General features: G+C 49.6%; 1 protein-coding gene and 1 long non-coding RNA gene across 12 annotated transcripts in view, besides 2 other annotated features; both read right to left on the bottom strand.

The window, feature by feature from the left end:
• Positions 1-21,648, bottom strand: part of MAPK4 (mitogen-activated protein kinase 4) — a 172,215-nt gene that overhangs the window by 6,249 nt on the left and 144,318 nt on the right. For 8 of the 11 annotated variants that reach the window (XM_017025839.3, NM_002747.4, NM_001292039.2 and 5 more), the window contains 2 exons: positions 10,355-10,499; positions 3,479-3,640 (listed from right to left, as the gene is read on the bottom strand). In XM_017025839.3, the coding sequence (XP_016881328.1) occupies positions 3,479-3,640; positions 10,355-10,499 (307 nt within the window). The other 3 variants (XM_011526077.2, XM_011526078.2, NM_001292040.2) reach the window with 3 other exon arrangements.
• Positions 3,101-3,601: an enhancer, noted in NCBI's record as "H3K4me1 hESC enhancer chr18:48248347-48248847 (GRCh37/hg19 assembly coordinates)". NCBI's record gives its function as "activates a minimal SCP1, AML or CMV promoter by ChIP-STARR-seq in naive H9 embryonic stem cells {active_cell/tissue: H9 hESC(naive)}" and the evidence as "EXISTENCE:reporter gene assay evidence [ECO:0000049][PMID:30033119]".
• Positions 3,602-4,102: an enhancer, noted in NCBI's record as "H3K4me1 hESC enhancer chr18:48247846-48248346 (GRCh37/hg19 assembly coordinates)". NCBI's record gives its function as "activates a minimal SCP1, AML or CMV promoter by ChIP-STARR-seq in naive H9 embryonic stem cells {active_cell/tissue: H9 hESC(naive)}" and the evidence as "EXISTENCE:reporter gene assay evidence [ECO:0000049][PMID:30033119]".
• Positions 19,439-21,135, bottom strand: LOC124904302 (uncharacterized). The gene is made up of 2 exons (XR_007066369.1): positions 20,725-21,135; positions 19,439-20,618 (listed from the first exon to the last, which is right to left on the bottom strand). It is a non-coding gene; the product is annotated as an uncharacterized LOC124904302 (long non-coding RNA).

Raw genomic sequence — 21,648 nt, 5'->3', positions numbered from 1 at the left:
CTCCTGTGGGCATCTGGGATCCTCCAGAGACAGTGTGGGCCACACTCAGAGGTGGTTCCCCTTGCGGGGCAGGGAAGCTGGGATATTTATATACCAACTTCCCTTTGTCATGGCTTAAGGGGCTGCTGGAATGGGACGGAGGAGCCTGCTCCTGAGGAAGCCCTGAGGCTGGAGTGCCAGGTGCAGCAGTAAAAAGCCTTAGTGAGAAAGGGGAATGCTGCAGTCGAGGGGTGGGACAGGGTCTCCACAGCCCAGAGCTCCTGGGTCCGAATCCAGAGCTCTTCCTACCATATGCTGCCCCTGGAAGTTCAACAAAGGCAGACAGCCTTGATGGATGGATAGATATTACAGATACTGAACAACCAGGCTGAATTCCCCTGCTCTGCCAAGCAGTAGTCCTTTCATGTCTGGATCAAGGGGGAGTTCTGGGCAGTGGGAACCTGGGGAAGGGAAGGGACACTCAGAAGCCTTGTGCGAGAGGCTGTTTGCTAACCAGCATGAATGTATGCCAAAATTCAGCAGATAGCAGCTCTGCACACAGGCACTGGTGGCCCTTCCCTTGAGCAGGGGTGGGTGCCCTGGGAGCTCTGCTCTTGGAGCTCTGCCCTGGGTTATCTCAGCGCAAGGACTAGCCTAGAAGTTTGGATTCCTTCTCAGCACTGGCATCTCTGGAGGTCCGCTTAAATCATGACTTGGCTCCTCATGTTACAGCCCACATGGAGAGGGAGAAATGGAGCTGAGCTCAAGGCCCAGGCTGCCCATCCCTCCGAGGAGCTCCCTCGTGGGCCTCAGCCTGCACCATTAACCTGCCCCTCACACCAGCCCTGTATCTCTTTGCAAGAAAATTCATCAGTGATTGAGGAAATCGATGGATTCAGAAGGTCACTGGCCTCCCAGGAGGACGCAGTGCTGCAGTGTAACCCTAGACCCCCAAATTAGTTAAGCAGCAGTAACTCTGATCACCCCCAACAGTCTGATGCTCAGAGCGTGTTTCTGGGTCTGGAGTTGCAAACTTAAAAGAGGATCTGCCTGACAAATTCCTAGGACTGGAAGAATCGGGCCAGTCTAGTGCGGGGCCCAGCTTCAAGTCTGGGCAGGTTTTTCTCTCTTTGGGCCTCTGGCCCCTTTTTTGGCCCCAGCCATGACTTGACCTTTTGACAAGGAAATGAGAGAATTAAAGCTGTAAAGATTGAGGCAGGCAGTATCATCTTTAAAAAAGATGAGTACCACCACTGGGGCAGTGGCTCATATCTGTAATCCCAGGACTTTGGGAGGCCAAGGCAGGAGGATTGCTTGAACCTGGGAGTTTGAGATCACCCTGGGCTTGTTTCTAGCAAGACGAGTAGTAGTTGGCCAGGTGGGCCAGTAGTGGGTTGTCTCTACAAAAAAAATTTTAAAATTAGCCAGCCAAGGTGGCGCATGCTTGTGGTGCCAGCTACTCGGGAGGCTGAGGTGGGAGGATCACTTGAGCCCTCGAGGCTGAGGTTATAGTGAGCCATGATTATACCACTGCACTCCAGCCTGGGTGACAAGTGAGACCCTGTCGCAAAAGAAAAAAAGTCGAGTACCAACCCCAAAGCTGCTCCACAGACTCCATCACGGATGAAAATCTGCTCTTCCCTCTCCCTGACAGCTGATCCTCCTGCAGGTCCCCAGATACTTCTGGGAAGCCCAAACACTAGGAAATTCTTCATTTCTTTTTTTTTTTTTTTTGAGACAGGGTCTCACTCCTGCCATCCAGGTTGGAGTACAGTGATGGGAATACGGCTCACTGCAGCCTCAACTTTCCAGGTTCAGGTGATCCTCCTGCCTCAGACTCCCAAGTAGCTGAGACCATAGGTGTGCGCCACCATGCCCAGCTAATTTGTTATATTTTTAGTGGAGATGGGGTCTCCCTATGTTGCCCAGGCTGGCCTGAAACTCCTGGGCTCAAGAGGTCTGCCCGCCTCGGCCTCCCAAAGTGCTGGGATTACAGGCTTGAGCCACCACACCTGCCCCAGAAAATACTTCCTTTTATCAAACTTAAATCCCCCTTTAACTTCTACCCTAGGGCCTACCTCTGCCTTCAGTGGTTTCCCCAAAGCAGCATGTCCTCTCTGTCCCACGATTTCCCCTCTTCTGTTTCAAGGCAGCAGTCATGTCCCATGTGACATCCATCCTGGCACCCTTCTGACCTGCCTTTCCAAGCCCCTCCTGCAGTGAGAAATGGCTGTGTGCCTGGGGCTGATGGAATGGGGGTGGAAGTGCTGTGTGTACCCCACTTCCAGGCCTGACCCAGAAAAACCTCCTGCAAGAGTCTCTGCTCTCTCTTCCCCTGGCTTTGGCTGGAAGGGAATGCCCAAGGTGACCTTGAAAGCCACCTGCTGAAGATGGCAGACCTGATGGCCTGGGTCCCGGGCACAGCCACTCATCCTCCCCTGCCCATCCATGCTCCCAACTCTGCCTGGAAGTGAAGTAAACAATGAATAAACTGTAAGTGGGTTAAGCCACGGAGATTTCAGGGTTATCTGCTACTGTACAAGCTTCACCTTAACTCCTAAGCCACCGCCCCTCAGAAACTCCTCCTCCCTAGGCTCACCCTCCCCGGATGTTTTTAAGTCATTTCTTAGATAATGAAGCTTCTGTACAATCTTGTCACCTTCCTCTGGCCCAGTGGATTCCAAACTGAGCTGCTCAGAGCCCCAGGGGTTCTGGAAGGGTTCTCAGGAGCATGTCTGGAGATTGAGAGGCAGGTGGGCAGGACACTGAGCCCCTCAACCCTGCTTCATCCAGAGCCCGCCTTTCACCTGTGCCGCACCTGAGTTTTTGTCATCAGATTCATCACCTTTGGTCTATTTCTGTCCTGTAATAAATGGAGCTCAGAATTAATGCCCCCAGTGTGGTCTTGGGGCCTGCCTCCCTTGTTCTGCACCTGTCACAAGATGGACGTTTCGGCTGCTGAGGGATGCTGTCACCGAGACTGGGTCTCCTGAGCCTCTGAGAGCTAGAGGCAGCTAGAGCCTTTGGCCTCTTCCCAGGCCTGCTGAGCCTTGAATATACAGTAGAGGGAGTAAGCCTGAGGAGTGAAGGGCGGTCCTTGCCTGAGGCCACACAGCTCATCACTGGTGGAATGGGACCTGGGTCTTGCCCTCAGGCTGAGGAAGCTCCTGTTCTTTGCAGCACACCAAGCCTTCCAGGACAAAAATGTGAGGGAGGATGAAGGAAAGAGAGGGAGGAAGGTGAGCAAGGAAGATGAGAAGCAAAAGGCAGCAGAAACAAGGGTAGAACACTAATGACTGCCCCTAATGGACTCCTGAGGCCCAGCATCCACAGCTTGGAAGTAGTTAGGGCAAAGGCCCACTGGCAGGGGAGCCTTGACTTTTATATCCAAGGACCATGCTTTGCCCTTTTGGAAGGAGACCTGCCTGCCCCCTACCCCGCAAGGTGGAGCCTAGCTCATCCTCCCAGGACACTTGGCCTGGCTGCCAGGCTCAGGTACCTTCACTGTTCACTTCAGGGAGCAGCTTGCGCAGAGGCCTCTTCACCTCCCAGGTGCTGCTGACAAAGGAAGGCATCACCCTGAGCAGCTCGTCCTTGTCTTCCTCCCGGATTACAGGGATGGTCTCCAGGATGAGTTGCATCTGCTCCAGCTCATGGGCCCCTGGGGAGGCAATGCCAGATGGTTAAGTGTGCTGTCCAAGGGGCTGTGGTGTGCAGTAGCCCAAAAGCAGTGCCAGGTGTTCTGGGAGGGACAACACAGGGCAGTGGGGCAGCACTGGGCTGGGACCGGGGTTCTGGTCTTCATTTGCTGCTCAACTGTGGGCAGGTGGCTGACATCTCTGGGGCTTGGCTTTGTCAAAAGTAGAAAAAGGGAGTTGAATCTGGTAGTCTGCAAGGCCCCATCTATTCCCCTAGCATTCTGTGTCTCAGACCAGCTGGATATAAGTCAGCACTAAAGAATGGGAACAGCCTGGCTCAAGGCCTTCCAAGTGCAACTTCCCATAGACCTCTCTGCACAATCTTTACTAGGATGGGGAAGGAAACAGTTTTAAGGCTGGGAATGAGCCATACCTTTTGGTTTCTAATTAAGAGGGTTCCATCTAGGAAACTTTCAAGAGAAAAACAAATCAGGAATAACAAATTGGGTTTGGGATGTATCTTGAGCACATGGCCTCTGTGATCCTTGGGAGAAGGAAGGCAGGCCAGGCTATGCCAGGTTTGCAGGGGCACTTTGGTGGGACAGGATGGACTCAAACATTCATTTATTCCCTCATTCCATAAATAGTTATTTATCGAGCACCTTCTCCATGCCAGGCATCACGCTGACTGCTGGGAATCGGTGAGGCATAGTTTTCATTCATAAGAAGCTTCAGTCTTTGTCTCAGAAACTCAACTCACCTCCCACACCCAGACAACCACTGGCCACCGTATGGCATTTCTGGCTCTGGACAGATGGGTCTCCTTGCTGTCCTTCTCTGACCTCCAGGCTGTTCTTCTGTACTTCCATTTTCTCTTTTTTGATTGAGTTGCCTTTCCACTTAGCTGTACTAGGTTAAAACTTCAGCCATACCTCTCCTTCCTCAAGAAGTCTTCCCTGCCCATCCAGCTGCACAGAGGGCCCTCCCCTTGCCATGAATTCCCATGGGATTCCAGTCTTCCAGTCATCCAGCCTAGGATGAGGGCTCTCCCAGGTGCCCCCACAGTTCCCTGTGTGGCCCTAAGCACATGTGAATACTGACCGAAGAAGTGCCTGCAGCCTCAGGCTCTCTCCTGAAGAGGTCCTTTTGGCCTCTCCCTGCAGTGGACTCATTGGGTCAGTTCAGGGCTCTGGAAGCCCCCTGTGGGGTCCTCTCTCCAAATGTGTACTCCACACCACCCACCAGGGGACCATGAGGTCAATGGGTGATCAAGCTGCAGACAGAGATGGTGGGACCTTGCTCCCAAGCCCCTGACCCCTCTCCTGTGTGACACACAAACTAGTAATACACAACCTTCTGCTTGGAGTAGCTTCTTCAACCACAGCGGGGGTGGGGGCAGAGAATGAGCCTCTTTCACTTGTCTGCTCCTGCCCGAGATCAATGGTGTCATATGGGAGGCAGCCAGTGGGGCCTCCCTGGGAATCCATGGCCTGGGGCGGAAAGCAAGAGCTTTGGTGGCAGACAGCCCTGGAGGCAGACCTAGCTCCCCCACCCCTTGTGGAATGAGGATGATTATTTATACTTGGAATGAGTATTATAAGGAGTCAAGTGTGTTGGCAGATGAAGGCTCCGGGAGAAATACCTTGCTTGTAGCAGATGTTTAATAACTCTTGACTTCCTTTGCTTCTAGGAGTGGGGAAGAGTGGCTTTGAGAGAAGCTGATGGAATAATTCCACCTTGGGGATTTATGTCCTAATCATCCGTGAGTGATTCTTTGTGACAGACGTCACTTGGGGGAGGCATCTTAACACTGAGTCTACTAAGCCACCACTGAAAATGGGAGAAGGTGTGAAGCATGGAGGATACTATGGTCAATGTCCCTTTCCTACTGAAAGAAGGTCCTTTCCATGTCACACCAGCTGTTGCCTTCCCTGCCTCTCTTGCAATAAGGGGAGGCCATGTGATTCAATCAAACAGGGACAGGAATCTCCTGGAAGGACTTCCGGGGAAGGTGTTCCTCCCTGGTAAGAGAGAAATGTGAGGAGAGCTGTTTGGCTGCCCTGGCTGACCCCTCCCTACCTTTCTTCGTTGGACACTTCTGCATGAGAACCTGAAAGCGATTGCGACCATCTCGTGACCACAGACAGTGAGCCTGAAGATGAGAGGCCAATAGACTGTGGATTATACAGTCTCGTCTGGGCTCTCAGTGAGTCACCTGCCTGCTGTGGTATGGAGAAGCCCAGCTCTTCTCCGTCTGGCCTGAAGGTTGTCAGCCTGTTGGAAGGGCAGCTGGAGCACAGCCCTGTGAGCTGAGGGTTCAAGGCTGGGAGAATGGAGGCAGCCAGGCACCTATGACCCAGATCGTGGGGGCAGGGCCAGAGATGTTGAGCCATCCAGGGTTTAGTGGCTATGGCTAGGGTGGGAAGAGTCTTTGAGTCAGAGTCCAGGGCGAGACCTCCCTCCCACCTGTTCCTCCTTTCTCCCCTGCCTTGAATTGGCTGGAAAATACGGAACTGGGAGGTCTGTGCAATTTCAGTTGGAAAAATAAGATAGCAGGATGGCTCACCCTGGGCACAGATAGGTTCACTGTGTATTTTTTTTTGTTTTGTTTTTAACCCTTTTGTGTCCCCTGCTGGACCATCAGACCTTTGAGGACAGAGACTATGTCTTACTCAGACTTGTATCCCCAGCACGTGGTCAAGGATCCACCCAAAGCACAAAATCCACCAGAGGGAAAACTGTAGGGGCTCCTGAGAGTCCAGGGGGCAAATGAAGACGTTTGTACTCAGGGCCTAAATGTTTGGACATAAGCCCTGACTTCAGCTTCATCTGACTTTCCTGCCATTGTTTTTATTTTACCTTTTTTTTTTTTTTTTTGAGGTGGAGTCTTGCTCTGTCGCCCAGGCTGGAGTGCAGTGGCACGATCTCGGCTCACTGGAACCTCCACCGTCCTGGTTCAAGCAATTCCCCTGTCTTAGCCTCCCAAGTAGCTGGGATTACAGGTGCATGCCACCACGCCCAGCTAATTTTTTTGTATTTTTAGTAGAGACGGGGTTCCACCATGTTGGCCAGACTGGTCTGGAGCTCCTGACCTCAGGCAATCCGCCCACCTCGGCCTCCCAAAGTGCTGGGATTACAGACATGAACCACCATGCCCAACCTATTTTACCTTTTCTTGTTACTTAATGTTACATTAACATATAATTAATATTAACATATCATATTAATATATGTTTTATATATAGCATGTATTTTAAATACTTACTGGAAGAAGTTAGCATCATGAATGAAAGAGTGACTAGCCCAGCATAGCACTGAATAATTCCCTCATTGCTGTGATTGAGAGATTACATTTTCTGGGTCTCTCATTACTCCTTATTAGATAAATCTGCTCCTATGGTGCCTAAGATTTAACTGTGCCCAATATAAATATTTTCTTGGCAGGCTGGGTGCAGTGGCTCATGCCTGTAATCCCAGCACTTTGGGAGGCTGAGGCAGGTGGATCATTTGAGGTCAGGAGTTTGAGACCAGCCTGGCCAACATGGCAAAACTCCGTCTCTACTATAAATACAAAATTAGCTGGGTGTGGTGGCACATGCCTGTAATCCCAGCTACTCGGGAGGCTGAGACATGAGAATCGCTTGAAATGGGGGGTGGAGGTTGCAGTGAGCCAAGATCATGCCGTTGCACTCCAGCCTGGGGGACAGCACGAGACTGTCTCAAAAACAAAACACAATAAAGACTTTCTTAGCTATTCAGACATGGCTTTCTCTTAATGTCCTGCTGGTGTTCCCTCAGAAAGGCCACTGTTAGCCATTTCTTCTTCTCTGGGCTCATTTTCCCACCCTGCATTATTTGAAACCAAATCACCTGTTAAAAAAGAGGTGGGCTGTCCTGGGCCCCTTCTAGGGCTGGCATCTAAAATTCTGTCTCAAGACCATAAGTTCCCTGGAGAGGCCCTTGTCTGACTTTCTCCCCCTGCCTCCTCACTGTCCCTTTGTCCCACAGCAATCCCTCTCCCCATCCTTAGCACTATGTTCTGTGCACACAGCAGATGAGCAGCTGTGAGAGCCAGGGGCTTTGACAGGTGAGTGGGCAGCTCCTTTTCACCTGTGGGCTTAGGTGGTCTGCAGTGCCCATGAGCTAATTATTACACCAGCTGCCCATATGTGGTCACTCTACAGTGAACAAGAACAACAGGCCAGCAACTGAGATTGTCGGCTCCCCGTGGGGCCACAGGGAATCTTGATTAGCCCTGCCACTTGCAGGCTCAGGTTTGTAGACAGAGATTTCAGGGTGGAGGGAGCCCACATGGATGCTAAGGACACACCTTTGCTCTTAGGGGATACTAGAAGGGCCACTGCTGTCTTATATTTTGTGGGATTCAGGGGCTTTAGTGGGGGGAATCTTACTAGGTCTTGGGGTTCTGAAAGGGGGCTGGGGTAAGGCTATCCTACTCCCTCACTCTCCCCCTCCCTTCCCAACATGGAAGTGTGGGGTAGCCCCAGGAGCCTAGGCCTACCAATGCAGGCCATGAGTGCTGGCCATGCCTCCTGTAAGCTGATTGCCAAGAGAAAACACGCTCCCCCTGGGCCACACTGCAGTCATGATCAAGCAAGGAGGTGGGTGGGTACTTCTCAGGCCTTCCAGCTTTCGTGCCCTTTTCCATTCCCTGGACACTCAGCTCCCCAGCGTCTGCCACTCTGATACTCGCTTCAGATCTCTCCTCCCCTGAGCAGTTCTGGGTGATGACACAAAGTCCAGGGTGGATGTGGGGAGGACAGGCTGACAACAAGGGCAGTGAGTGTCCCAGGAACTGAGGATGTGGGGCTCTGTGTCAGGATAGTAGATAAGTGAGTCACATCAGCCTCACAGCCAGAATGATGTGGGACCAATTGTGGAGAGGGAGGCCATGACGTAGGTGCCAACAGCCTCAGTGTGGGGGATGATGGGAGATGAGATGAGGTGCTGGCACGGGAGGACAAGATAGAGAAGAAGAGGGGCCATCTGGTAGGCCACAGAGGAGGGCTGCTTTGTTAATAGCAGGCAAGCAATGGTGAGCAAGGAGGATGCAGAGGCTCTATCCCGCTCTGTGTACAGGGCATGGGAGAAAGGATGGCCTCAACTCAACAGAGCTGAGGGGAGACGGTGCCCCTGAGGAGAAGCAGGGCAGGCTGAGGAGGTGGGGAGAGCACTCACAGGGAGGCTGAGGCCAAGACAGCATGGTTAGGAGGACAGGGCGGGGCTGCAAGCACTGAGAAGAGAGGTCAGCCAGGAGGACCGGATATGAGGCCCGGAGTTCTGTAGGGGCATGGAATCCAGGCAGAGGACAGGTGGCAAGGAGGCAGGCCCACGGGGCTCATGCTGCAGCCAGAGCGTGTGGAGACTGGCCTCACCATGGTCCTCTACCAACGGTGGTTTGGAACATTTCTGGGCTTCCAGCCTCTACAAAGTTAGCCTGGGTGGAGGGGATGGATGAAAATTCTTTGAGTAAGTGACAGCAGCATTTAGGGCTGAGTGTGGAAACTTGGGAAGGGCTGAGGGACATAGTGCAGAGGAAGTAGAGCTCATGGTGGGTGAGAAGCAACTGAGGGGGGATTGCCAGAGAGGGAGGAGGAGACCCAGGGAAGAGGGTTTCAAGAAGGAGGTGACAGTCGTCGCTGACTACTGCTACAGAATGAGGCTGAAATGGGTTCCCTGGATTAAGAACACGGCAGTTTGGGTGGGAACAGCTTCAGACAGATGGAGGGGGCGTGAACCATGCTGCAGAGTGAGGAGAGAATGGAAGAGAGGGAGTGAAGAGAGCAAGTGCTCTTCCTAGCAAAGAGGGAGAGTGCGAGAATGAGTATGAAGTGCAATGGGAGAGCCAAGAAGGATGACTCATGCCCTGGGGAATTAGGAGAGACGTCATGGAGGACAAGACATAAGCTGGGTTTTGAAGGTTCACTAGGAGTTTTCTAAGCAGAGAAGGAGGTCTTTGTGCCAAAGTGAACAAAAAATGATGATAGATTAGGAAAACAGTGGGTCACTTGGTGTGGCCGAAGGACAGGGAACAGTGGCAGGGAGGGAGGAGGAAGGGGCTAAAAATGTAGGGTGGGTGTGTTTGCAGCCATCAGTCTCAAGATGTTTGAGTAGAAGTGTGTCTAAGTCCATTCAGGCTGCCATAACAAAGTACCATAGCCTAGGTGGCATATAAACAACAAACATTTATTTCTCACAGTTATAGAGGCTAGAAAATCCAATATTAAGGAGCTGGCAGATTTGGTGTCTGGTGAGAGGCCCATACTTCATAGATGATGCCATCTCAGTGTGTCCTTACACAGTGGAAGTGGCAAACAAGCTCCCTCCAGCCTCATTTACAAGGGCACTAATCCCATTCATGAGGGCTCCATCCTCATGACCTAATCACCTTCCAAAGGCTCCACCTCCTAATAGCATCACCTTGGGGGTTAGGATTTCAACCTTTGAATGTTAGGGGAACACAAGCATTTAGGTCATAGCAAAGTAGTTACTTGATTGCAAAAACTTCTGTGCTCAAAAGGCTACTATTTTTTTAGCCTCTCCAGTATTTTTGCCTGACAATATAATAAGGTGCCTCCAAATAGTGTCATAAAAGCCACAGAAGTAATTTCAGCAAAAGATGAGCATGTTTTGTGATTGTAAGTGTTTTGCACTCAGTTCCCCTTTCTATGGAACGACGCCAGATGAGAAGGAAGGTGGCATAGTTAGCAACTCACCAGCAAAGAGCATTCTCCCCGTAAGCATCTCAGCCAGGATGCAGCCGGCGGCCCACATGTCGATGGCTTTGGTGTAGTTATTGGGGGAAAGGAGCAGTCGTGGGGAACGGTACCACTTTGTTACCAACCCTTCTGACAGATAACCCTGAAAGACAAAATTTCTGGTTCCACTGATCAGTCATTTTTGGATACCCTTCCTCCCACGCCTCTTCCAGTTTCCCCTCCCATGAAACAGACCTCTTTCAGGGTCCCTTTCATTCTTGCCCCTTTCCCATTGATCTTGAAGGAGCATGAGTGAACAGACGTCTGGTTAGAGGGGCTGGGCCTGGTTTGTGGGGTTGAAATGCTTTGGTGAGAGAATCTTACGAGATCCGAGGGTTCTCCTTTATAGAAAGGAATTCAGGTTATTAATATTTTAGAAGAAATGATTTCCCACCCCACCTTGATGTAACTCTGCCCTTGTCTAGTAAGAAGATGGAGAAACAGGAGCCCTGCTCAAGTTCATTACTGCTAGCAACAGAGTAACCATGAGACTCTGGCGTTTTCTGTATCCAGTGGATGAATCTCAGAATTAGCCATATGCTTGAACTCAAGCTGGTTGCTTTGACACTGAAGATCAGAATTAATGCTGCCACAAAGCCAGGCACCAGGCTCTTGCTGAGAACAGATAAGACCATCTTCATAATGGATGCAGGAAAATGCTATGTGGAAGCAGTCCTGAACAACAAAGTGGACACAGCTTTCGTTGGTCCATGAGATTCTCGGAGTCTGACTGTGTCTTTCTGGGGGATAAATGTTCTAGCTGATTTTGCCCATGGCTCAGTGATTTGTGGTCTGAGATGGACTCCCTCCTTATGGTATATAGCGAGGACATATACCCATATATGATTTAGGAAAATATACCCAGGGAATTTAGAAATTGTTTTCTACATAATTCAGAAAACTGGGCCAAGAGTGACATCTGGGAAATGTCCATTTGAATTCCCTAGAACAGTCTTTCTAATGTAAGAAAAAAAATGTATAGATCCATTGGGGGTCAAGGTGAGACAGTTAGGACCAAGGAGATCCAATGGGAGATTCCAGGGATGGTCTTTTACTTCGCAGTTTAGCATTCACACTTTCCTTTCTACTGATGCAGAAGTATCACAGTCTCAGGTTAAAGCAGATGAAAAGTTAAGAAGGCCAGGACCCAGGAGCTTTTGACCTATTAATCTGAAATCCCTTAATTTGTTCAGCAAAGATTTATTAAATGTCTAAAACCTTTGGAAAGGACAGCAGTTTCCTCCCCTCTGTGGCACATATTTCCTCCGAGTAGAGCCTCAAACTGGTAGAAGGAAGGAGGAAAAGCAGAAGACACCCTTCAGCTGGAAATCATAGAGCATCCCATACGCTGGCCTCAATACTCTCACCAAAATGAACTCCTTAAAATTTGTAGAATGTGCCCTCTTCTTCTGTCCTTTGTGCATTTGACAGTGTACATTCCATGAGGGATATCCCCGTACTCATGGTGCTACCGGCTGACACGCTCAGGCCAGCTTCCTCTCAGAAGTTTCCTTGTTTTGTTGCTGTTTCTTTACTTCTCTGCATCCCCACCCCTCCAAGGACCACTAGACTGTGCGCCCCTCATGGGCAGCAGCTGTGTCTTGTTATGCAGCTACTGCGCATAGCCCAGCCCCATGCCTCCTAAGAAGTGTTCAGTAAACACTGCTGAACTGTTGAATGAATGAATGAAAAGGAAACATCTCATATGGTCTGAACCTCCTCCCAAATTTAGGCACCTTCTGCAGGGACCACTGATCCTCTTCTTTTATACACTTGACTACAAGGTGGTCCAGGTTCCACTTTCCAAGGTGGGTGTGGAGTTTATATAAGTTGATAGCCACTTATGCCTTATCTTGTTCCAACAAAGGATGGGCCAATGTCATTTTTATAAGAGTTTAATTGCTTTAAAAGTCAAGTTTATTGAAGTATAATTTACATAGGGTAAAATTCACCAGTTCTGTGAGTTTTGACAAAAGCATAGTCATGTCACCACCATCACAATCAAGATACGTAACAATTCCATCATCTCAAACAATTTATTCATGCCCTCTTTTGGTCACCCCTAGTCCCAGCCCCTAGCAACTGCTCTTTTCTGTCTCTCTAATTTTACCTTCTGTATAAATGGAATGACAGTATGTAGCCTTTTGAGTCTGAATTCCTTCACTTAGCACAATGCATCTGAGACTCATCCATGGTGTGTGTACAGTAGGCTGTTAGGAATTTAAGTTCGATTCTAAAAGTTACAGGAACAAGCCAAATACTGTCTGTAGAAGTTCATTTTTAGGTGGGTGGGTTCTAAAAAAATAGTCTGGTTTTATTTTCAGTCAGAGGGTGAGATTGTCAGGGAAAAGACTAAAGCAAGAGTACCCAGAGGGGAGGTAGCTTCAGGGGAGTTTTCTCTGATATGTAAATGCACAGTCTTTTATGAAACAGAATGGTCTGGAATTGACATCTGCCTCTCCTCAGAGTCTAGGGTTAAAGAACAGTGGGGACAGGGGGCTTTCTTCTGAAACACTTGCTCTGAAAGTAAAAGAAAGATGTTGACATGGGTAAGGCTGCCCTTGGGCCAGAATTACAGACCAGGTCATGATAGGAGCTAAGAAAGTTGCTTTCCAGCTCTTCCTTTTTTTTTTTTTAATGAAAAACAAGAGCCTGCTGAATTTTTAACTACTAGCTATCTTCCTATGGTTACTTGTTCTTCACACTCTTTAAAAAAACATAAAGTGGATTTTTTGTTTGTTTTTGTTTTCTTTGAGACAGGTTCTCGCATTCTGTCGCCCAGGCTGACATGCAGTGGCGCAACAGTGGCTCACTACAACCTCTGCCTCCCAGGCTCACGGGACCCTCCCACCTCAGCCTCCCAAGGAGCTGGGACCACAGGCGCACACCAACACACCCAGTTAATTTTTGTATGTTTTGTAGAGATGGGGTTTCGTCATGTTGCCCAAGCTAGTCTCAAACTCCTGAGCTCACGCAGTCTGCCTACCTCGGCCTTTCGAAGTGCTGGGATTACAGGCATGAGCCACTGTGCCCGACACTTAAAGGGGATTTGTTGATATGTTTCAGAAGCCACAAGGCTGAGAAGAATTTGGGAAGGTGCAGTGTCTTCTGCCAAGCTGGTGCAAGAGAAGCCCCAGGAAGGGGAGATGGGAATATATGGGAAGCTCCATTCCCAGGTCTGGGGGCAGACACAGTGGACCAGGGCCCTGCTGTCAGCTGAGCTGAGCCCTGGGTGTCCGAATGGGAGAGGCTCTGGGGCCCACAACATGGTACTGGTGATCAGAATTCAAGAGAGGAGTTGCAGTCGAGTGGATGGGGTGAAATTCAGGATAATTTTCTACAAAAAAAAAAAAAAAACTTTAAAGAATACCCAGAAGTCGAGACCCAATTTTATTAAAAGAGCTCATAAATCAATAAGTATATTGGCTCAAAAAAAATCTCCAAATAGCCCTCTGCCCAAGCCTGCAGGGTGAGGATAGTTTCAGCTTCTTTTGGATGTAGAGAGGAACATGTCTCTGTGATCAGACCTGGTCTCCCCAGGCAGGGCATGCCCATGCACAGGGTGGCCAAGGAGGGAGTGAGCAGGACAGCAGGCACACTTGGCGCACAAGTGGGTGCGTCTGCACGCGGCTGTTGCAGGCCAGCTGGGGCCAGCCTCTTGTGTGAGGCTTTGTAACATCACTGCTCTGAGAAGACATGAAGTGCACACTCCCACAGTTCTCTGTGACCACCACTCAGAGCACAAGAAACAAGATGGGAGTGGCCCCTTCCTAATCGTCTATTTCCTCCTGCCACCTTGTGCCCACTGGGAGGCAGATGAACATGGTTTCCTTTCTAGACCCTTTTAAGGGGCCTTGGGACTTTCGTCAGCTATTGCTCCCATCCACCCATTTTGCTGTCCCTTTAGAGTCACGCAGAGCCCATGGGAGGCTTTGACTTTAAAAGCTTCAGAGGTGTTTGGGAAATAATCTAGCAGCAGCTGCCCTGTGAGGAGCATAATTAGGGGCCCCTGAAGGATAGAGAGAAGGTATAATTAAAGCTCTGAGCATTCTCTTTGCAGAGGGAGCAGGGAAGCAGCCCTCGATCCCAGCTGCCTGCCAGGGAATTCAGAACAGCCTGGATCAAAGTCACTCCAGAAGGGTGGGCACTCCCAGCTGCTCCAGCAAGCCCGTGCTGGGTGGGCACCAGTTCTGATCTGGAGCCAAGTCTCCTGTGCCTGCCCTTGCTGTGCCCCCACTGCCTGATCTCTTGCGTGTGGGAGTTGGAAGGTTGGGGGAGAAGGCTCAATCCAATAAACTTTCTACTACACCCTTTAATGATAATGTGCCTACTAATCCCTTAGGGGTATGATGAATTTATTTATTTATTTATTTATTTATTTATTTATTTATTTATTTATTTAGAGACGGAGTCTCACTCTGTCACCCAGGCTGGCGTGCAGTGGCGCTATCTCTGCTCACTGCAAGCTCCGCCTCCCGGGTTCACGCCATTCTCCTGCCTCAGCCTCCTGAGTAGCCGGGACTGCAGGTGCCTGCCACCACGCCCGGCTAATTTTTTTTTGTATTTTTAGTAGAGATGGGATTTCACTGTGTTAGCCAGGATGGTCTCGATCTCCTGACCTCATGATCTGTCCACCTCGGCCTCCCAAAGTGCTGGGATTACAGGCGTGAGCCTCCGCGCCTGGCCTATTTATTTATTTGAGATAGGGTCTCGCTCTGTTGCCCAGGCTGGAGTGCAGTGGTGCCATCTTGGCTCTCTGCAACCTCCGCCTCCCGGATTCAAGCGATCCTCCCACCTCAGCCTCCCAAGTAGCTGAGACTACAGGCACACGCCACCACGCTTGGCTAATTTTTGTATTTTTTGTAGAGACAGAGTTTTGCCACGTTGCCCAGGCTGGTTTCGAACTCCTGAGCTCAAGCAATCCTCCCACCTCAGTCTTCCAAAGTGCTGGGATTACAGTCATGAGCCACCGTGCCTGGCCTGGTATGGTATGGTGAATTTAAATGAGATGACATTCTCCAAGAATAAAAGCCCAGTCAACTTTAGCTCTGGGGGATGAGGACAGGGTGGGAAGGGTTGCTTTTCCTTTCATGCTGAAGCAATGTTTAGGGCTGCCCCTGTTTCCAGGCTAGGATGATAAGAGACTCTGACAGCCTCGCCTTCCCAACCAGAAGTTTCTGCAATGTGTCCTGGGAGCCTAAGGTGTCTGTCCCTGTGTGAAGGATGGGAAAATGATTCAGATCATCCCTTGTCTTCAAAGAGCATTTCACATGGTTAGAGAGATGAAATGTTAATATGGAAAAAATGTAAGGACCAGGAAGTAATCATGGCCAACATTTCTGTGGGACTTACCCTGTGCCCAGCACTGTGTTAGTATTTTACATGAATTTGATGCAGGCCCTTCACAGACTAATAAAATGACTGGTTCAAGGTGCTGTAACTGGGAAGTGGTCAGGGGTGTCTGGCTCCTGCACTCATCACTTTCATACTGCCAGGCCTTCCCCCATCCCCAATGACATGCTTGTGAATTCACAAGCACTCCAAGAGATGTGCTTGTGAATGTGCAGACCACTCAGAGCTGCCGACTTGGAGTCCTCCAATCTCCATCTTGAATGAGCTCCCCAGGGGAGGCGAATGCCCCCTCCTAGTGCGGAAGGCGTTTCAGCGTAGGTTGCAGAAGGGCCATGTGTGTCTCTGCTTTTCTAATTAGCCTGGGCAGGCCTGCGCCCCTAGTGGGGCCCTTGCAAGTCTTACTAGCAGGTGGGCACTGGTGGAGCAAGGAGGCTGCAGGCTCTGTGCTCCCTCTCCACCCCATCACGCTTCCCCCAATTCCCCGGGCAGTCTGGAGAGCAGGGGATTAATGGACTCAGGAAGGCCTCAGGAAGGCCCCTGGCACTGCACTTCCTTGGAAGAAGAAAAACTTAGGGGAAAAGTGAGGCTGTGGCAGGGAGACTGTGATTCTTTCAGGGGACTGGGTTCCCAGGAGCCCTCCCGGTGGAGGAGCAGTGGAAATCAAAGGCCTGTCACACGAGAACCTGGCAATTTCAGTCTGGAGGACATGGAAGGGGTGGGCGTGAGAGCTGCCTGTAGACATTTGCAAGGCTGTCATGTAGAAGAGGAGCTAAGCTTGTTCTCTGAGGCTCTGGGGACAGCCGAGAGCCAATGTGTGAGACAGAAATCTATGCAACATGATAATACCAGCTAACATTTATTGAGCTCCTCAGACAGTTTTATCTGCTTTATATGGATTAACTCATTTCATCCTCACAGCAATCCCATGAGGTAGGGACTCTCATCATAGTTATTTTACAGGGAGGAAACTGAGGCACAGAGAGTGTAAGCAGCCTGTCCATACTCACACAGCCTATAAGTGGCACAGCTGGAATTCAACCCCAGGCTGTGCAGATGTAGCTCCTTTGACCTGAATAGAGGGCTCCACTGCCTCGCACATAAGAGAGACTTCTAAGGCTGCCAGGGCTTTCTGTGGGGGCCTGGGCTGTCTAGACAAGCAGAGGGTCCAAGCACAGAACAGACAGTCTCGTGGAGAGATGTGCCAAAACCGTCTTCCTGGTGGAGACCCTAAAGCTTGGCTTCTCAAACTTTGGGGTGCTCTCAGATCCCTTGAGGACCTCGACTGGTTAAGCGCAGATTCCATTTCTCAGTCTAAACAAGGTGATGCTGATGTTGCGGTTCAGATGACCACACTTGGACCAGCAAGTTCCTAGATGGTCTTTATGATACTGGCCTGCCCTAAGAAATTATGATTTGCTTTACTTACAGGCCAGGCAGATTTCTCAAACCGAGCAGCAGACTGACCTATAATAGGGGTTAATTCTTTGAGTTACAGACACTCATCAAAAGATCATTTAGAAGAACAACATCCTCCCAGAGGTCCCGCTGAAGCAGACATATACAGCCTCTCTTCTGTAGTCATCTCCCTCTGAAGGCATAATTCTTATTTGTGCCAATGTACATATGAGGCACGTGAGAAACCTTTTTTAAAAAGGAATAATACCACAGCCAAATAGCAAACTCATTCCATTAAACTTATTTGCAGGAAAGCATGCAGCAGGGACTCTCTCAAATTGAGGGAGGGAACACATCACAAAGCCTGGCTCACATCGCAATCACTGGGAAATCATCTGGCACGTTCTATTACGCAGCTAAAGTAAACATGGGTGAAGAAATCGTTTGGCTAAATCAGCTGCACTGAATTTTCATAAACTTCTAAGATGCCCTAAATGCTGATCTGCTGATCCCCTTTCAGGGCTGCCCCTTCTCCACTCCACCCTCTGGGGGATCCTGGACAGATCCTGAAATTCACCATCTCTTCCCAGGTTTCCATGGAAATCAACCAAAAGCTCATATAAATTCCCATAGGCCTGCAGGCCCTTGTTGGACACTCCAGGCCCTGTGTGGTCACTTTCTTTGACTTTAAAAAAATTATAATAAAATTGCCATAAAAAATTTAATTGTAATAAAATACACATACCATAAAGTTCACCATTTTAACTGTTAAGCATACGGTTCAGTGGCATTAAGTATATTCACAATGCTGTACAACCATCGCCACCATCCATCTCCAGAACTTTTTTTTTTTTTTTTTTTTTTTGAGACAGAGGCTCACTCTGTCACCAGGCTGGAGTGCAGTGGCACGATCATGACTCACTGCAGTCTCCCAGTAAGACTTGCAAGCGATCCTCGGGCTTTAACCCCCCAGAGTGACTGGGACTACAGGTGCGGGCCACCATGCCTTGCTAATTTTTGTATTTTTTGTAGAGATGGGGTTTTGCCATTTTGCCGAGGCTGCTCTTGAACTCCTGAGCTCAAGTGATCCACCTGCCTCCTCAGCCTCCCAAAGTGCTGGGATTACAGGCATGAGCCACTGTACCCAGCCAAGAACTCTTTTCATCTTGCAAAACTGAAAGTCTGTCCCCCTTAAACAATGACTCCCCATTGTTCTTGCCCCCTGCCTCTGGCAACCACCATGCTCCTTTCTATCTGTATGGGTTTGATGGCTCTAGGGACCTCACAGAAGCAGAATCATACAGGCTTTGTCCTTTTGCATCTGGCTTATTTCATTTAGCGTAATGTACTTCTCCTTACTTTTAAACAGCAGGAAAGTGGGAGCAATGGAGTTGGGCTTCTTTTTAAAAAGCACTTCGGTGAAATGTGGTTGTCTTCTAATTCAGCTAGAGCTCACCGTCTGATAAAAGCTTTGGACATTATCCTCATGGGGTCCAAATCAAGAACTCTGAATCCTATTACAGTTCAAAGACAGGATAACATGTTCTGTTTGTTCAGTGATGTACCAGGACTGGCAGCTCCATTACCACCATCCTCACCAGGACCAGTGGCTGGGCTGGGTAGAGAGGTGGGTGGAGGGATGATTTGGTTGGGCTGCTTCTGCCTCAGTTTCCTTATCTGATTTTGCTGCTGGAGGGGCTACAAGTTCTCCTCTGTGGGGCATTAGCATCCTGGGGTGCTGCATGACAATGGACAGCAATCTTTAAGTGAGAAGCCCTGCTAGGCCAAAGTGATTAATTTTTAATAGGCCAGTCCTTGTGCAAATGGCTTCTTTTAGTAAGATGCATTAACTGTCAAGCCACAAATAGACATCTGTCACGCTGGCTTTCAAGGGGAAATCTGGTGGCACTCTAGAGCACGGGCTCTCAGACCTGCTACAGGCTGGAAGCACCTAGGGAACTTAAAAAAAAAAAAAAACTGACGTTCAGGACTCCTGCTGTGCCAATCACATCAGAATCTGTGGGGGCGGAGGCGGGGGGGTGGGAACCAGGCATCAGTGATTTTTTTACAGCTCCCCAGGTGACTCCAAGGTGTAGCTGTATTTGAGAACCAGCATCTCTAGAGGTCTTGAGTTCACCTGCTTTGGAAAGGTAAGTAGTATTTTCATGGTTCCTGGATGAGTACAGGTTTCTATTTCTACCTCCCCTCAGGATAAGATAAATCCTTGAGTAGCCGCAGAGGTTTTCCCCAGATGGCTGAACCACAGGAAGTAAAAATTTACTGAAAAATCACTGATCATAATAATAGCTATCGTTTATTGAGAAATTATGATGTGCCAGGCACCGTGCCAAGTACTGCTTTATTAATAGTGCATTTAATTATCAAAATGACCCTGTGAAACAGGTAGAGAGATGGGGCTAACTTGAGCAAGATCAAATTAACTAATAATTGGCAGAGCTGAGATCTGATCCCAGCAGTGAGCAAAACAAAGTCCCTGTAATCATGAGGTGCACACTTTGGATGGAAAGACAGCTGAACAAACAAATGGATGATATGTCTAGTGGAGATAAGTGCAAGGAATGGAAATAAAGCAGGGTAAGGAGATAGAGAGTGATGGGGTGGGTGGTCCAGAAAGGCCTCTCATGTAAGGGGACATTCGAGCAGAGACCAGAGTGAGTCAAGGGGCGAGCCACGTGGCCATGTGGTAGAAGACATGAGACGTTGGTCTCTGAGCCCCAGGCCTCCCCTTTCTGTCCCCGACCTCTTCCCCCGAGGAGGGTGGAAACTTTCTCCGCCCTCCTAGCAAACTTTTCTCTCAGCTCCCTTATTAACATCCAGGTACATAACTGAGAGCACATTAGGGAGGGGAGGGAATATTTGTTGACATCCACTCTGTACAAGGGATTTTGCCAGCAGTAGCTCAGCTCACCTCCTGAGAACCCTGTTGAAGGTATTTATTTTTCATTTTACATTTGGGGATATTACTGCAGGACCCTCCTCTCTGACTTAGCTGGCAAGGCTTTGTGTTCACACAGCCTCCTGGACCCCTTCATCTAACTTCATTAACTCTATAGCAGGGGAGGCAGCGAGGGCTCCTGAAGGCAAGAGCCAGTTGTTTTCCCTCTGTCTGCAGTGCACCTCTGTACAAGATAGGCGCTCACTTACAATCGGGTGAATGAATGGAGTAAAAACGTTGAGCTAAAGGAATGATTGATATGCCCATGAAATTCAGGAACTGACCACCAGTCAGGAGAAAATTAGCTCGAAGTTTCATTGCCATGTAGAAATCTCAGGACAAAGGTAGTGTCTGTGCTCAAGCCTAGCCCTCTGCCGTGTGGGGTATGGGTCCGGTTTTCTATTGAACATGCTATTCATGCTACCGTGTGGAAGCCGGACCCCTCAGGCTGCTAATCTTGCCTGGGACCAACCTGGAGGTCAGACTCAGAGCTTTATTTCACCTCTCTACACCTCCACCCTCAAAAAGAAAGAAAGAAAATGTGAGTCCAAAAGCACTTTTGAGGAGTGGGTAATAATAACAGCCACCTGCCAGGTGCTGACCATGTGCTTGGGGTGCTCCTCACCCTCTGTTTCCTTCCATTTGGTCATCATGATGCTCTCCCAGGATGGCTGCTGTCATTGTCCCTGCTCCACAGAAGAGGATGCAGAGGCAGGGAGGGTAACGACACAACATAGTCCAACATCACAGAGTCCTCCATTAGGCCTCCAGGCCCCAAAGTTCCCTCCGATTCCAGCCTCTTCACAGCTGCTCCCACCCCACAGGACTGGAACTCTCCCCAGTTTGACTTGCAGAGAACGCTCAGAAGAACAAAAGGAACTTCCCTGACTTCTCCCTTCTCAGAAGGCTCTGGAATGTGACCCACAATGCTTGTGATGCAATCAGTAGACTAGGAGAAATAAGAGAGAGACACACATGATTGTCTTGCTTTTTTTTTGGAGACAGGGTCTCACTTTGTCACCCAGGCTAAAGTGCAGTGGCTTGACCTTCTGGGTTCAAGTGATCCTCCTGCCTCCCAAGTAGTTGGGACTACAGGCATGCACCACCACGCCTGGCTAATTTTTGTGTTTTCTGTAGAGACAGGGTTTCACCATGTTGGCCAGTTGGTCTCGAACTCCTGAGCTCAAGCATTGCACCCGCCTCAGCCTCCCAAAGTGCTAGGATTACAGGCATAAGACACCGTGTCTGGCCTTTCTTTTTTCTACTGATGCGGGATGAGGTAGAACTTAGATGGGTCTGGAGGGCGTGACAGATTTTGGAGTCTCCAGGTAGACTCATTATACAGATGGCGTGGGAGGGAATGGAATGGGCCCTAGAGAGCTTACCTGAAGTTTTAAAAGTCTCTCTGTCACAAGGTCTGCCTGGAAAGGGCAGGTGTGGGGAAGGAGGAGGCTCCTGGTGGTCCAGCCTAAATGTAGGCAGGAAGTAGCTCCCTGTGGAACACTGGGGATGCCCTGCTCCTCCTGAACTTGACCACCTGCCTGTCTGG

Source organism: Homo sapiens, chromosome 18, assembly GCF_000001405.40.
Source record: "Homo sapiens chromosome 18, GRCh38.p14 Primary Assembly".
NCBI lineage: Eukaryota > Metazoa > Chordata > Mammalia > Primates > Hominidae > Homo > Homo sapiens.
Note: the sequence above shows the minus strand (reverse complement) of the source record. Positions and strands in the feature narration are given on the sequence as shown.